This window comes from Homo sapiens, chromosome 21 (genome assembly GCF_000001405.40).
Source record: "Homo sapiens chromosome 21, GRCh38.p14 Primary Assembly".
NCBI classification, from domain to species: domain Eukaryota; kingdom Metazoa; phylum Chordata; class Mammalia; order Primates; family Hominidae; genus Homo; species Homo sapiens.
Genome location: NC_000021.9, coordinates 17877256 through 17895132, shown reverse-complemented (window position 1 = coordinate 17895132; position 17877 = coordinate 17877256). Strand labels below are relative to the sequence as shown.

The 17877-nt window shown below is 38.8% G+C and overlaps 2 long non-coding RNA genes and 1 pseudogene across 2 annotated transcripts in view; 2 read left to right on the top strand and 1 right to left on the bottom strand.

Annotated features, from left to right (window-relative positions):
- Positions 614–985, top strand: RPL37P3 (ribosomal protein L37 pseudogene 3; annotated as a pseudogene).
- LOC124900465 (uncharacterized) overlaps positions 4009–17877 on the bottom strand; it is a 145830-nt gene continuing 131961 nt past the window's right edge. The window contains exon 3 of the long non-coding RNA XR_007067823.1: positions 4009–5882. This is a non-coding gene — a long non-coding RNA (uncharacterized LOC124900465). The remainder of the gene's footprint in view (positions 5883–17877) is intronic.
- LINC03147 (long intergenic non-protein coding RNA 3147) overlaps positions 9525–17877 on the top strand; it is a 49937-nt gene continuing 41584 nt past the window's right edge. Inside the window, exon 1 of the long non-coding RNA NR_024354.1 lies at positions 9525–9671. This is a non-coding gene — a long non-coding RNA (long intergenic non-protein coding RNA 3147). The remainder of the gene's footprint in view (positions 9672–17877) is intronic.

The following is a 17877-nucleotide window of genomic DNA, read 5'->3' as shown; positions in this document are numbered from 1 at the left end:
TAAAGTATACCACAGCCACTATGGAAAATAGTGTGGAGATTCCTTAAAGAACTAAAAGTAGAACTACCATTTGATCCAGCAATCGTACTACTGGATATCTACCCTGAGGAAAATAAGTCATTATACAAAAAAGATACTTCCACATGCATATTTATAGCAGCACAATTTGCAACTGCAAAATCATGGAACCAACCCAAATGCCTATCAATCAACGAGCGGATAAAGAAACTTTGGTATATTTATACAGTGGAATACTACTCAGCCATAAAAAGGAATGAATTAATGGCATTTGCAGAGACCTGGATGAGATCGAGTACTATTATTCTAAGTGAAGTAACTCGGGAATGGAAAACCAAACATTGTATGTTCTCACTGATATGTGGGAGCTAAGTTTTGACGATCCAAAGGCATAAGAATGACACGATGGACTTTGGGGACTCAGGGGGAAAGAGTGGGAAGGGGATGAGGGATAAAAGACCATGAATTGGGTGCAGTGTATACTACTCAGGTAATGGGTGCATCAAAATCTCACTAAAGAACTTACTCATATAACCAAACACCACCTGCATCCCAATAACTTATGGAAAAATTAAAAAGAAAACAAGAAATTGCATCTACTGCTCTTTGGTCTTAGCCACAGAAGCGAGATGACAAAGGGAATGTCATAGTTTGGAAAGCCCCACAATAAGATGCACATACTGTGTCCCTGCTGTGGGTCTAAGGCCTACCACCTTCAGAAGTGACCTGTGGCAAATGTGGCTACTCTGCCAAGTGCAAGAGGAAGTATAACTCGAGTGTCAAGTCTAAAAGACAAAATACCACTGGGACTGGTGAAGTGAGGCACCTAAAAATTGGGTACTGCAGATTCAGCCATAGATTCCGTGAAGGAACAACAGCTAAATCCAGAAAGACAACTGTTGCAGCATCCAGTTCATCTTAAGAATTTCAATGATTAGTCACGCAATAAATGTTCTGGTTTTTAAAATTTTTTTAAAAGAAGAAGAAATGGCATCTACCTCATAACCTAGCAATGAAACAACTACAATTGGATACCTCAATCCCTCACCCTTGTTCAATGAGCTATCAAAGTTTTGGTTCAAAATGTTTGCTTATTGTACTTCAATAAAAAGATTTTTAAAAAGAATCCATATCCCAACTCCAATGCTGACAAATGAGACAAAGCCAAAATGAAAAACATTCTATTAGAAAGATAGGACTGTATTCTTTTAAAATGTCAATGTCACAAAAGACAGAAATTAAAGGTAAAGACAAAGATTAAGGGAGACTAAAAAGATACAACCATTAAAATCAGTGCATGCTCCTAGACTGGGCTACTCTATAAGTGAGAAAAAAATGTTATGAAGGACAGGTTGGGGTCAATTCATAAACTGGAATACACACAGTCGATTGAATAGATGTGAGAAATTTCCTTTAGTTTGACAACTGTACTGCTGTTGTGTAGGTGAGTGTCCTTGTTTTTATACAGTGATCAGGTTCAGAAAAATATGAAAAATATGTGTATACGTGAAGAAAGAACAAGAGATGAAGCCGATGGAACAAAATGTAGGTGAATGTGGGTGAAGAGCATACAAGTGTTCTTTGTGCTGTTCTCACAAGTGTTACCTTGAAATTCTTCTAAATAAAAAGTTTTTTAAACATTTGTCCAAAATGGCTATGCTCTATTATAATAAATTTATTCATGTGCTTTAAATTGATAGTGACATTGCTTTGGAAAATCAATAGGATTATGGTATTGAACATGAGAAGTGGTCCAATAATATACGTTAAATGAATCAATGAGCAACCAACTGGAGATTCAGCTAATGCAATCATTGTTATTTGTAGCTCACATCACATCACAGTCCAATCTGAGGCACTGGGAGGAAGGGAAGGCTCTGTCTTATACCCACAGTTTAGGGGCCCAGGGTCTTTCCCACCAGAGGCTCCATTCTCTTTTGGTGTCCCAGAGTCCTCTCTAATCAGCCAAGAGCTTAGAGAATTGCATGTGGGAGGTTCTCTGTGTGTCAGTCTGAAAATGGTCCCATCATTTCTGCTTGCCATTTACGAGAACTCTCACATAGCTACACCAATCTGCAAGGGAGCCTAGAAAGTGTGGTCTACCTGGGGGCTCAGGATAAAGAAGAGAATACAGGTGCTCGTGAGCACTAGCATCTTGGCCACAATTAGTATGTTATTTCATAAAGATTTGGGGACACTTACAGACAGAAGGAATAACTCCTCCTGAGAAAAGCTAGCTCAGAAAATTATACATGCAAATCTTGATACCAAAGACCATGTCTCTCTCTCTCGGACTCTTTCTTCTCAAGGAGGACAAATAGCCAAGAGGATAAACTAAAATGAAATTAGGAAGGAACTGAATATCAAAAACAGTTTTAAGAAAGCAGTCATGGAATTTCTTCTATATAGGGGTATCATGGCATTAACAATTGAAATACAGGGTCACTGCTGCCTGCAAAAGCTGGGCTGAAGCTCAAGGATGTGCACAAGTCCAGGAATGGGTTTGTTAGTGCTGTGGACTTGCTTCTCCTGTCTCCTACCTGTTCCCCTCCCCGCCCTTCTACTCCGTCAAGGAACGTCACTAAGTATGTTTCTTCTATAAAACCTATTTGTTCCAGAACCAGTTAATTTTTTACAATTTGTCTCCTATTGCCTCTCTAGCTAATATGAAATGTTTTAGACTGTGACAATTCTTTCTTTTGTATTTTTATGTAATTACAGTAATTATTTAAGGGTAATGAGTACAGTTAGTCTCTCTTTAGTATACCTTGCAGTTAGCTCAGTGATGGGCCCATAAAAAGGGATAAAAAAATATTTGTTACTTGATTTGCTTCCATTTCTGAAGTTGGATAGGAAGCATGCCTCCTTCAAATTCATGGTCTTAGTTGGGAATCATAAATGTCTGAATTCTCCTCCGCATACTCTCACAAACAAAGACTAGTCATGCTTAGTAAGTGATAGAGCACAGTGTTTTGAATGAAGTTCTAAAGGCATTCTTTGTCATCCCGTTCACCTCCCCATCACACCCCACCCCTGCCCCCACAAGCCCTCTTACAAAAATCCTGATGATCTCTAAAAAAAAATGGATATGTCTAGTATCCTAGACTGAAACGAGTATGGCAAAGGTAGCATTCTAGACAATGGGCTGATTTCCAGATTTGGATCTTCTGGGCCCAGATGTAGACTGCTGTTTTCAGGTAGTGTCTTCCCAGTCCAGTCACCTACAACAACATGTGAAATATTCTTAAACTCAAGAACTTTGTGACGATAAAAAGATTAATTTAGACCGAATGGATCTGCACTGGAAAATGAAAATTACATATAGGTTGGTGCAAAAGTAATTGGGGTTTTTGCCATTGAAAGTCATGGCAAAAACCGCAATTACTTTTGCATCCACCTAATACATTTTACTATATAGTTAATGAATCATAATTATATACAGAATACAAACAATAAATGGCATACATGCAGATAAATTATCATATTAATTTACAGTATTCCTCAATAAGTCTTTGGTGAAAATCCTTAATCAAGGATGATTCAGAAAATCATCACTATTTCAGTTTAATCCAGATACAATTTCTCTGTCTCTATCTTTATCCAACTGTGGCATCTCTTCTGTTGAAAGCCACACACTGTTCATGGTTTTACAGGTTTTACAGGTCACTACCTTCTAGCAGAGTTGGCATTCTTACTATCTGCTCATGAGCTTGTGCAATGTTCCATTTAATATCCACTCTTAATAGTTACTCTGGGCTGGGCGCAGTGGCTCACGCCTGTAATCCCAGCACTTTGGGAGGCCGAGGCCAGTGGATCACTTGAGGCCAGGAGTTCGAGACCAGCCTGTCCAACATGGCGAAACCCTGTCTCTAATAAAAATGCAAAACTTAAGCGGTCCTTTAATTCCAGCTACTCAGGTGGCTGTCTCGCTTGAACCCAGGAGACAGAGGTTGCAGTGAGCTGAGATCACACTGCTGTACTCCAGCCTGGGTGACAGAGCAAGACTCCATCTCAAAAAAAAAAAAAAAAGTTACTCTGCTAAAGTGGTTGTCTTCACTGTTCTCCAATATACCTGCAAAATGTCATCCCCATTTGTCTCTATTCTGAGCCCTCTGTGTCCCTTGGGGAGTATGCACTTTGAGTCCCCACTGTGTTGAGGTGATGAAGAGGATTTTATTTTCCTCATATTTGAAGAGGACAAAAAACCACCTAATGAGAGCAGAGCTGAAAATACATTTCCTCCTGGCAACAGGGATGCTGTGCTTACTACCCTGAAATAGCATCAACTTTTGACCCAGAAGTTGCAGCTCAGGAGTCTAACTCTATCGTGCTGCTCAATATCAGGTGGGCAACATTAGCATGTGTGTTTTTTTTTATATTCCTATGGGCAATCCAGCAAAGTATTGGGGAAAAAATTACTTTCTGAAATGTGTATAAAAATTACATCGGTAGCAAATCTAGACTACCAGGTATTTTAGAGGATAGTTGCATTTTGCAGTTCAATGTTTCTACCTTCTCAGATTTCTCAGCTGAAACATCTCAAGAGAAAAGCAACATTATATATTTTTATAAATTGTGTTTATAATGTTCATGTAAAGACTGTAAGTGTTTGGTTTTAACAAATGTAAGAGTTTACAATAGTCTTTCATGTGAGAATACTCATGCCATCACACTCAGAAGTGACTAGAACGATGTCCATTCATGACAGTGCAGTTTTCTGCTTACTTATCTCTGGTTTATGGTTTGGCACATTTTCTAACTTTAATCCATTAATTTGGTTACTACACAACCCAATGAGGCTAAGGCTGTGGAGTTAAAATTGAGCATGAACCAGTCATAATTTCACTCTGTTTTATAACAACGCATTAAAACTTTTATCTTGATTAGTCTTCCTGCATATCCATTTCAAGGGTTATAGGTGAAATCAGACAAGATATTCATCACCACAATTTGAAAAACAACTCTAAATGCATGCCCTGACTTGGATCAAAAGCACTAATCGCTGCAGGAAAGATGACATGCTTTAACTGGTTTACAAATCTTATGGTAGCATTGATAAATAGAACCCTTCTTCTGTCACTTACAATATTATGAATTTTCAGAAGATATACATGGGCTTTTGACAAAGGTAAATGAGTTTAACCTGTCATTTAAATAATACCTTTTTTTATGAAAATCATGCTGTATTATGTGCTATAATTACAATTCCTCATTCAAATATAGTGACTCAGCATACCACCTAATCAAGATCAATACTGCATTTCTCACTGCCTTTATTTCCACCTATATCAAACCCAACAAGTGCAACAGTACCTGCACTCAAGGATTTAGCAAATGTGTAGTCAATTTTTATGTCAGAGTAACTGACTTTAGGTTTCATGAATCATTTGATCAAGGAACACTCTGCTTCTAAACGTCTATTTTAAGTTTCTAACATACTCGTGATGTACTACTATGTGCTATGGATATACAAAATTAATATCAAAGACATGATCCACTGGATTAGTCAGAGTTCTGCAGAAAAACAGAACCAATAGGATGAAAGTCTCCCTCTCACACTCTCTCTCTCAGAAATTGACTCATTTCATTATGGAGGCTTCAGTCAGTAAGTTCCCAAGTTCTTCAGTCAGTAAGCTGGAGACCCAGGAGAGTCAATAGTGCTGGTTCCAGTCTGAAGGCTGGCAGGCTCAAGACGTGGGGAGAGCCAATGTTTCAGCTCAAAGCAGTCAGGCAGGAGGACTTCCCTCTTACTCAGCCTTTTGTTGTGTTCAGGTTTTCAACTGATTGGTTGAGTCACACCTACATTAGAGAGGGCCATCTGCTTGACTCACTTTACCAATCAGGTTAATCTCACCCAGAAACACCTGCAAAGACACACCCAGAATAATGTTTAGCTGAATGTCAGGGCACTTGTACCCAGTCAAAGTGACACATGAAACTAACCATCGTACCCATATATACACATTAAAAAAATTATTTAGGGAAGAAATAAGATAAACAACAAATAATAGTAAAAAATGACAAAATCCTATAATTTAGTGCTAAATTAAATGATAATGCCTATAATTCCTATTAACCTCAGATTGGGAGTATTCAGAGAACTACTGACTAAAAATTGTATAATGAATATGTTTAATTTGTCTACAAGTGATTAAGTCCAAAGAATTACAGAAAAAATAATAAATAAATAATATTTTGTTTACTACCAAAAGATACAAAAGATAAAATGCCTAAAATAACCTAAAAATGAAAAAAAAACTCAAATACAGAGATGGGAGAGAAAAAATAACAGATGCCTCAGCATTTTTAAATCTGAATCTTGATAGCATTTTATGCCTCCATGTGAAAAGAATGCTTTGGCTGAGAGAAAATGGCTTTTGATGCCACATATTCTCTAAACACCTGCTGTTCGTAAGTGTTTCAGCAAATAATTCAACCTGCTGGGAATCCTTAGGTTATAATTTTTATATTCATAGCTTCTGAAAAATTTTTAGAGATTTTCATCAGAAGAGGAAAAGCAAATAATGCCAAGCTGAATAGTCTCTGAGAGTAATGAGTATTATTCACTGCTTTAGTTTCTGCGCATTACCCATCAGATTCTATTCTTTCACAGATAGCGTTTTAATGGAAGAGGTACAAAGAAGAATGTCACGTTCATTTACTTCCCCCAAGGATTAGGCAATGGTGTGTAAGCAATCCCATTGGCCAACCTTGATAGCAGTTTTTACTGTGAACTAATAATAGAAATTATTATGCAAAAGTCTGACAATATCTCCCTAATATTTCTTGAAGGCATCAATCCCAAACAGTCTCAAGGTTATCAAAGTGCCTACAGCTGAAAGCACATTATCTTTCTTTAATTTTTGCTTTTACAGTAATTCTAGATCAACACTCTGAGCTGATCAGACCACCGTTTTCTAGAGGCTTCATAGCCCAACAGAGGCTAACTGAATGCCCTCTTTCCACAAATAAGAATGGCAAAATCTACTCCATTTTTGCTGATTCCCCTAAACTGTCTTAGGACCATAATTTTCTTGCTGGTCACTCCTTTGCAGGGATCAGATGAATTGAAGCTGCCCTGTCTCTTAAAATTTTCCTGTCATCCAGAGCAGCCTTTCTCAACCAGGGTTCTGAGAGAGAATCAAACTCAATGCCATGAGGCAACTACTATAGGTATAATGAATTGACTGTGTCCCTGTGCATCTAAAATGATACCAGCTAAAGACCACCTATGGAAAATGGTCACACAATGATTTCATCTTCTCTAGGGTTTAATCCTTTTAATAAAGCCAAATTGAGAAACATTGATAAGAGTAAGGGGGTAAAACAGTATAATATATTTAAGATACACATCCTGGCCCAGTGACTTTCTTAAATGGCTTTCCTTCTGCATTTAACCAAAAATACCATGGTAATATCCATCACTTAATCAAAAATTACCAGATATGGTGAGAGACACCACAGAGGGCCAAAAATCAAGCGAAAAAAAACACAGATAAAATACATAAGATGAAAATGAAAGCAAGTATATTTAAATACAGTTTTATATATACTTTTTTTAAGAGACAAGGTCTTGTTCTGTGGCACAGTAGCATAATCATTGCTCTCCACAGCCTCTAACTCTTGGGTTCAAGTGATCCTCCTGCCTCAGCCTCCCGAGTAGCTAAGACTACAGGCACATGCCACCACGCCCAGCTAGGTTTTAAATTTTTTGTAAAGACTGTGTCTCACTATGTTACCCAGGCTAGTCTCAAACTCCTGGTCTCAAGCAATCCTCCTCCCTCAGCCTCCCAAAATGCTGGGATTACAGGTGTAAGCCATTGTGGCCAGCCCTAAATATATCTTTTAAACTTCAAATAAGCTAATTATGTACTTGTTTTTAGTATATTAAATAACAAGATTCAGTGGCAAGTCTAATAATAACTAGTTCAATGTCAAACTAGAAATGAGTGTAATTAATATTTTGAGATATCTGTAAAGCAATATAAAAATATCTATAATTCTATAAGTGACAAAGTAAGAGATACTGGAAATACTCTTCAAATTAAGACTATATTCACAATTAAAAGAGATCTTAAATTTTAATTAGAGGTCAGTGAATAATAGACCCGGAAAGTTGATTGGGTAGACCTGTCATCCCCTAGGACCTCAGGGCCCTTCCTTCAGTGAATCCTCTCCCTCTGGCCAACTGACAAACTATAAAAAAGTTTATGGAGGACTGCAAAAGAAGTGTTAGAAGGCAGCCTTGGAAGTAGGGTGTGTCATTTCCACACATATTCCCTGGCCAGAACTTAGACATAGAGTCCCACCTATCTGCAAGGAAGCTCTAAACTGTTGTTTAGCTCTGAAGAAAAGAGGAAAAAGAAATATCTTATCTTTTCTGCAGGTACTGAGCACAGACAGCATGATTAGGGGCAACTGGGTCAATACAGCATAATCACATAGGGCCAAATATAGCAGAACCACAAAGTCTGTGGAGAGGCAGAAAAGGAGTAGGTTTGACAAATGAGAAAAACCCAAGTCAACATTAAGGTGCTGGTGATAAAAAATATCAACCTTCCTCTTGCCAGCTGTGTGAATTTACACATGAAAGTAGGAATGCAAAAAAAGAAGGATATATCTAATATTCAGCTTTTGACTACCAAAAAAACCCAAAGAAACTCTTGAGTCCACAGTGAAGCATTAGTCTTGCAAGCCAGCCTATTGTGATAAAGAAAGGTGGTCTCTAAACTATAAAAGCTTCATTCTCATGTCAGGAGCCAAACCTAGATGACTTGACTTGAATCATAGAGTTTTACTAAAAGCTCTAGGATAGAGTAAGGATTCAATGTAAATGACATTCATCTAATTCAGTAAAAAAGAAAGAAATATCTGGAAGGAATTTCACTAGGATGAGAATATAGCCTGGGTCTTTGAGAAGGAACTTGGTTTCCCAAACTCAAGTTCCAATAAAGAAAAACAAAAATGACAGAGATAGATAGAGACCTTGATAGAGACTCTAGATTATTTGAGAGAGGATCAAAATGTCCAGGGTTGTTCCCCCTTTCTCCACTGAATCCATCATGAAGTGGGTGTGAAAGATTAGACACAAACAGACAGTAGTGAGCAGCATATTCCCCACGAGCAACATTTGGTATGTAGGAGATCTTGGAGTTCTCATGACCCAAGATGAGGAACTTGAGAGACTTGATGTTGAGAAATTTGAAGGAGCTGGTACTGGGAGAATGAGACCATAAAACACAGGACCCTAGAAAACCCAAACTGAAAGGACTATCACATCAAGAGGTGGTCCCAGCAAGAAGCCCAGATAGATTGGTGGGATTATCTATGCCTTAGTGAACACCAACCCAAGGGAACCAGGCACTGAACAGGTTAATCATTCCTCAGTGCCGAGAAGGCAGCCCCACACCAGAAGACTCCTGCACACTGAATTAAACAATCCAATCTTCTCTTGGAACAAACATGCCATCTTGGGGGAAAGAGGAGAAGAGAGAGCTTGTGAGAAGTGAGGAGACAATCTTGATAGGAAGTTTGAACTTTGAAATAATATTTTATTCTACCACCCATCTAAAGGCTAATTAATCACAAATGTTAAACCAATCAGAAGAAAATGTTTGTTAAACCAGAAAAGGCTGTTACCTCTCACAGACAAGGTAAGTGTTTTCTACCACGTTCATGCTTCCACCGGCAGCAGAACTGGGGTATGCAGAGCTAGATGCAATCAACTATAGCAAATAAAAGAGGCAGCATATTTTGTGCAGATCTGTATTGTAGTGTATACTTTAACCCCAAAAGACAGAAACAAATTAGAGGTAGTTCATGCCTCCCTTGAACTCATACTCTAAGAACATATTTTAATGTTCTTATGGAATTTTTTCCATATGATAAATGAAAAAATAGAAATAGGTATATGCAGCAGGTAGCATACAGGAGAAATGGATAAAATGGGAGGAAGATAAGCGTTCTTGGAAAAGGAAAGCATGTTGGGTTTTAGAGGATGAATAAGAGTTCATCATGTGTTGGGAAGAATTCCCTGCAGGTAAACATAATAATCAGGCAAATGCACAGAAGAGTAGAAGAGTTAAGAATGTTCAGTTTAGTCTCACTGGAGCATGATAGAGAAACCTAATCTTCAGACAGAATTCCATTCTCTGGTGACTAATGTTTTAGCTTAGAGAATAGAAACTGCTTTTGTTTCAAGATGTTAAAATTATATTTTTAGGGAGAATATATTTGACCATGTAATGGAGGGGGGAAGGTATAGTATTGTTCAACTAGCAAATGTTAGAAGTGACATTTCAAAGATAAATTTGTGTGATTATTGCTCTTCTCTTTAATCCAGAAAATAGACTCCAGATGGTTACAAATATTTATTTCTAAGATGTAAAAGATGAGATATCTTTTCACTCTATCCAGTCTCAAGGTCTTAAGCAATGTCTACCTTTAAAGAATTATACCATGCGTGATGCCCCTAATTAACTGTTTTGTTTTAAAATGCCTTTGCTATTAAAATGTTTATTCACATTATTTTGTGTCATAGTGAGAGTAACGTGCATTTTTGAAAGCCATTATCGGCCAGGCGCGGTGGCTCACGCCTGTAATCCCAGCACTTTGGGAGGCCGAGGCAGGCAGATCACAAGGTCAGGAGATTGAGACCATCCTGGCTAACACAGTGAAACCCCGTCTCTACTAAAAATACAAAAAAATTAGCCGGGCGTGGTGGCGTCCGTGTGCCTGTAATTCCAGCTATTCGGAAGGCTGAGGCAGGAGAATCGCTTTTGAACCCGGGAGGCGGAGGTTGCAGTGAGCCGAGATCACGCCACTGCACTCCAGCCTGGGCGACAGAGCGAGACTCCGTCTCAAAAAAAAAAAAAGAAAGCCATTCTCTAGCGTATTCTTTATAAATTTTGCCCAAAGATTATTATTATGCTCTATTCTTTTTAAGTGGTAGTTTAAAATGATTACATTTCAAATGTCTCAACAGTATTTTGATTATTTTATTCAGTTGATATTCAAAGATTAAGCTGAAGAATACAATCTTGATTTTATAGATGAAGAAAGACTTTTAGGCCATGACCAAGATTGTGAGGGCTGGTCTTATAAATACGTGGTATGACATGAGGATTCTAGAAAGTTCCACCTGCCCAAATATATTTCATCTACTTGCCAGGGCACCAAGGATGCTTTACTAAAAATTCATAGCTTTCAATTTCAAACATTTGTTGACCATCATTAATCCTATACTAAAGTGCCAATATCCCTGCAAGGGATCTTGTAATGTCTACATTAAAAGTCATTAACAAAGAATAACTTTCAACAGCATTTCCCAACAGGTATCTGATACATGACTAAGGGGTTCCATGATCAAATATGATGAAGAAATACTGAACATTATTTTTCTCTCTTACAGAGTCACAATATATATTAGCATATAAAAAACTCTGAAGAGTTCAACGATTATTTTTTAAAGGAATTTTAAACTTTTCAAAACTCAGCAAGTCCAAAACTCTTAACTCTTAGGGCTCCAATGGCATTTATGACTGCTATGAGAATTATAATAACAGCTAGCTGAGAGCAAGATGCCAAAATTAAACAAAAGACCGCCAACTGTATTGGAGCCAGAAAGGGGCACTCAAATGGCTAAGAAACTGCTGATAGTGAAGATGAACGTTTCCCAAGGAAAAACTGGATTTGTTCAACTCTTTTTCTTGGACTGGTTCTTGGAATTTTATCTATGGATAAAATTCATCTTGTCTAGGCAGCTTCGTTTCGTCAGAGCCAAGTCCCCACATAATCGCATCCATTGAGATGCATTTTAAGGTTATATCACTATTATCTAAAGACAACACAAGAAGTCGTCATATAGATTCCATTCATGTGCTTGCTATTTGGAAGAAGTCAAGCATGTTGTCTATTATCTTGTTCAGTGCCCCTTATATAAAGCACCACATTGAAAATGCTTTTCAGAACTTAGTGCTAAAAACAAACAGTTTTGCCTTCCCTGAGGAACTGAAATCCTCTTTCCTTTCTGAAAAAGAGCAATAGGTCTTTCTGCTTGCTTTGATTGCCAGGAAACCCAAAGCCTAATGTCAGCACAAGTATAATAACCACATAGGCCTTTACGGTCTGAAAGATTTTTTCTTTCTTTCTTGCTATTTGCTTTTTTTTTTTTTTTTTTTTTGAGAAAGATCTCCCTCTGTCACTCAAGCCGGAGTGCAGTGGAGCGATCTTGACTCACTGAAGCCTCACCTGTTGGACTCAAGCAATCACCCCACCTTAGCCTCCCGAGTAGCTGGGACTACAGGTGTGCACCACCACATCTGGCTAATTTTTGTATTTTTGTAGTGACAGGGTTTCTCCATAGTGCCCAGGCTGGTCTTGAACTCCTGAGCTCAAGTGATCCACCCACCTTGGCCTCCCAAAGTGCTGGAATTACAGGTGTGAGCCACCACGCTGGGCCAAAAGTTTTTTCTTGACTCCGTACTCTTATTAATGCCTCCTTTGGTCATGACTGAGTTTCTCAGTCTCCATTTGTTTGTTGTGTGTGCTTGTCATAAATCATTGCAATCCCATTCAGAAAGGTGAGGGAGGATAGGTGAGAAGATGGAAAGATTATAAAAGACAAACAGAGGCCAGGCGCGGTGGCTCACGCCTGTAATCCCAGCGCTATGGGAGGCCAAGGCGGGCAGATCACAAGGTCAGGAGATCGAGACCATCCTGGCTAACATGGTGAAACCCTGTCTCTACTAAAAATACAAAAAAATTAGCCAGGCATAGTGGCAGGCACCTGTAGTCCCAGTTACTCAGGAGGCTGAGGCAGGAGAATGGCATGAATCAGGTAGGTAGAGCTGGCAGTGAGCCCAGATTGTGCCACTGCACTCCAGCCTGGGCAACAAAGCGAGACTCCATCTCTGAAAAAAAAAAAAAAAAGACAAACAGAAATGACTGGCTCCTGTATCTGTATGTAACACACCACCAGTACCTTACATGGGGCCTGGTATATCGTTGACACCTAATAATTTTTTTTTTATTATACTTTAAGTTCTGGGATACATGTGCAGAATGTGCAGGTTTGTTATACAGGTCTACACATGCCATGGTGGTTTGTTGCACCCATCAACCCGTCATCTACATTAGGTATTTCCCCTAATGCTATCCCTCCCCTAGCTCCTGACCCCCTAACAGGCCCCCCGTGTGTGATGCTCTTCTCCCGGTGTCCATGTGTTCTCATTGTTCAACTCCCACTTATGAGAACATGCAGACACCTAATAATTTTTAATATTTCTAAGTGAAGAAGTGTTCTTGATAATATTTACCTCATAGCTGGGCACAGTGGCTCATGCCTGCAATCCCTAATAATCAGGCAGCTATACTCAGGCCATGAGTTCAAGATAATATTTACCTTATCAAGATCTCCAAGGAGACATGCTTCTTATCAAAATGTATGGCAAAGATACTGTGCACAGGTTAAGGCTGCCAGCTCTCATCACTGCTTGTGTTGAAGGAATTCCATTGCAGATAGGCTGAGGAATAACCTCAGAACAGTCAGTGAGCACACACCAGGGACAGGCCAGAGAACTTAGGAGGTAACATCTAAGAGAGACTGTCTCCTTTGCGGATCTGCAGAGGGCTACGAGTCTGTTAACCCATTCTGCTGAAAACAACAGATTTGCTAATAAGGCAAAGTTAGGATGAGACATGACTCAGAGAGTAGATAAACACACATACACACACACATACCCAAACACAAACACATACTCAGCGAATGTGTTTGGGTAAGGAGGAGTGAATTTGAAGGGGAAACCCCAAATTACCTATTCAGAATACATTCTGTAATAAGGAGAAATTGCAGGACAAGCATTTGTTTTACAGAGGGCTCCAAAACGTGTAGTAAATATACAGTTGATTGGTCCCATCATAGAAACCACACTCAGATATGATTCCTGAATAGCACTGCCAACTTTATTATCCAATAGTAGCCAGAACTATGAGTATTTTAGTGTTATGACTTGGAGTCAAAAAGCCTTTTCTCATGCCTGAGAAACCAGCAGGCAGAGAGTAAGTACTAGAATCTATAGAGATGGGGAAGCTATACCAGGAGTGTTGATTTTGATTTTCATTTTCCAAAGGCACAATTATCTGCTGATCTGAAGGGCCCCTTGCATGTGATACCTTGTAGTGTAACTATTTTGCAGAAATTGTTGGAGGGGTAACATTATTGCTTGTGTAATTTTCCCAATGGAAACTGCATCTATTTATTCATCTCAACAAACACAAATAGCTTTCCATGCCCAGTCACTGGGGCAGAGGGTGTACAAAACCAAATAAAGCACAGTCCTTGCCTTACAAAGGTTAAGGGTCCCAAAGTTCTGGTCTTATTTTTGTAAATGGACCTTTAGTCTCTCAAAATCCTTGCCCTGCTGAGGCAGAGAGAGGGTGAAGTATGCAGCTGTGAGTGGCATCATATTCTTAATGAGTGCACTTGTTTTCAGCTCTTTATTATTAACAACTTAGTTCTAAAGCCCCATATGCACTCAGAAGTGAAAAACTACATCAACAACAACTGGCTTTTATTCTAAGGCCTTTACATGTATCAGTTCGTTTCCTCCATAGCCCTTTGGATGTGACTGGCATCTCCTAGCAGTTGCACGCACCTTTCTTCCCCCTCTTAGGACATTCAGAGTTCAGAGCCCATGTTGCTTTTCCCTTTTTTTTTTTTTTTGTTTTTTGAGACACAGTTTCATCCAGAATGGACTGCAGTGGCATGACCATAGCCCACTGCAACCTCAACCTCCCAGCCTCAAGCAACCCTACCACCTCAGCCTCCTGAGTAGCTGGGACTACAAGTGCAGGCCACCACGCCCGGCTAATTTTTGTATTCCATGTTGTTGTTTTTTCCACACCACACTGCATGTGTGTGCTGAACTGTCAGTCTGCCCATAAACCCGGTCAGCCCAACATCTCACTGAACCACTGCTCTTCTGTCACTCCAGGACCACAGCGGGCATAAGACTTCTCTACAATAATTGTAGTCTCCCCAGGCTACTCCCAACAGAGCAAGATATAGGCCACTCTGCTCTCAGATTCACCCAGTGGGTCAGACATTCCTATAATTCCTCCAACCCCAACCCTACCGAGACCTAAATCTTAAGAGACAAAATGGTGCCCTACCAGCTTTAGAAACTCACACCAGCTGCTAACTATCTCGCTTCCTTTTCCTAATTCTGAAGCTCCACTCACATGCCAAGAATATTTTAAAAATTAAAAAGACAAAAAAAATCTCCGTGTGTCAGAAAAACTGGCTTTGAATCTATTCTCACCCTGCTGTGTTGTTTATGGATAAATTTGATGTATTCTTTCTGCAAGCTTTGAAAACTGATGCTAAAAATCTTGCTTTGGGGAGATTTATAAAAACTTTTTCTGGCTCAAAAATTAGGCTCTTCATTCAAAATTTAGGCTTTCTTTTTTTTTTTTTTTTTTTTTGAGATGGAGTCTTGCTCTGTCGCCCAGGAGGCTGGAGTGCAGTGGCATGATCTTGACTCACTGCAACCTCCGCCTCCCAGGTTCAAGCGATTCTCCTGCCTTATCCTCCCGAGTAGCTGAGATTACAGGCACGTGCCACCACACCTGGCTGATTTTTGTATTTTTAGTAGAGATGGGGGTTTCACAATGTTGGCCAGGCTGGTCTCGAACTTCTGACCTCAGGTGATCCACCCGCCTCGGCCTCCCAAATTGCTGGGATTACAGGCGTGAGCCACTGCACCCGGCCAAAACTTAGGCTTTTAAGATCTTTATTACTTCCATGATTTCCAAATAATAAACTGTCTTCTTTGCTTGGCTGAATCTGTTTTTCCTCTTAAATACCAGATGCCACTGACTGAAAGGGTAAAGACCATGCAACATTAAGAAAAAAATGCGGAAAAGAAAAAATCTCAGTTTTAATTATCTTGAAATTTTATTCGGAAACAAATTCAAATATAATTAAGTACCCAGTCCAATACATGCATTCCCTCTTGAAACTCTATTTCTCTTTAAGTAACCTTTTTACCGATGTATCACGTACAAACAGAAAAGCACACAGATTATGAATGTACAGCTTCATGAATGTTCACCGTGTGAAATCTACCCTTGTCACTGCCACAGGTCAGGAAGTAGAATGCGAACAGTCTCCCAGCCGCACCCCAAAAGAACTTACTATGCTGACTTCCATCATTATTCATCAACTTTACTAGTTTTTTAACTTCATGTAAGTGGTATCACACACTGTGCTTTTTGGATCTGGGTTTTTTCTCTCAAATTACATATGCGAGACTCATCCCTCAGTGTTGCACACGGCAATAGCTTATTCATTTTTATTGCTCTGTGGATTTCCCCTGTATAAAATGTATTTACCCATTCTACTGCTGGTGGACATTTTAATTGTTTCCAGTTTAAGGCTATTGTAAACAAAGATACTAAGAACATTCTTATGCATGCCTTTTGGTATGCATATGTTTGTATTTCTGTTAGTAATACACCTAGGAATAGTACTACTAAATCATAGGATTATGTGTTTAGCTATAGAGTAGATATTGCCACACAATTTTTTGAAGTGGTTTTACCAATTTGAACTCTCATTAACGTTTGAGAATTCCAATTACTCCCTGTTTGCATTAACACTTAATATTGTCAGTTTTTGTTTTGTTTTGCTTTGTTTTTTGAGACAGAGTCTCGCTCTGTCACCCAGGCTAGAGTACAGTGGCACGATCTTGGCTCACTGCAACCTCCACCTCTCAGGTTCAAGCAATTCTTCTGCCTCACCCTCCCGAGTAGTTGGGACTACAGGAGCCCGCCACCATGTTCAGCTAATTTTTGTATTTTGGCCAGGCTGGTCTCAAACTCCTGACCTCATGATCCACCTGCCTTGGTATCCCAAAGCGCTGGGATTACAGAAGTGAGCCACCGCGCTGGCCATAATGTCAGTTTTTTTAATGATAGCTGTTCTCATGATTGTGTAGTGGCATCTTACTGTGTTTTGATTTGCATTGCCCTGATGAATAAGATACCTTTTCATGTGCTTATTTGCTATTCGGATGTACTTTTTGTGAAGTGTTTGTTAAAGTCATTTGTCATTTTTCTATTAGGTTTCTGCCTTCTTTTTGATTTCTAATAGTCCTTTATCAAACCTATATATATATAACATATATATTTCAATTATCTCCTTCCTTCCATCCTTTGACTTGTCTTTTCCACTTCTTAATGAGGTCTTTTGATGATTGAAATTCCTAATTTTAAAGTAGTCTAAATTATCAATTTTTTCCTTTATGGTTAATACTTTTTATATTCTCAAAAAAGAAAAAAAAACTTGCCTACCAGAATGCCATGAAGTATTCTGTGTTATTTTCTCAAAGTTTTATTATTTTACCATTTCCATTTAGATACAATCCACCTAAAACTGATTGTACTGTATCATGTACATTGGTAGTCAACCTCCATTTTTTTCATATGTTTACCCAATTTACCCAGAATCATTATTTAAGGACAATATTTTTTCCCACTGCAAAACAGTGTGACACTTTTGTAATTTCATGTGACCTTATATGTCTGAGGCTATTTCTAAACTCCCTATTTTGTTCCATTAGTTTATGTGTATATCCTTGTGCCAATACCACACTACCTTAATTGCTGTAGCTATTTAACATGACTTCTTCTTTTTTCTTCAAGATCGTCTTGGCTATGCTTGGCTTAAAAAAAAAAATCTATAAATTGTAGAATCAGCTCTACACACACACATATATGTGCGTATATGTGTGTGTGCATGTGTGTGTGTATATATATATTTTATATATTTTGTATAAATATACACATACATACATAGAT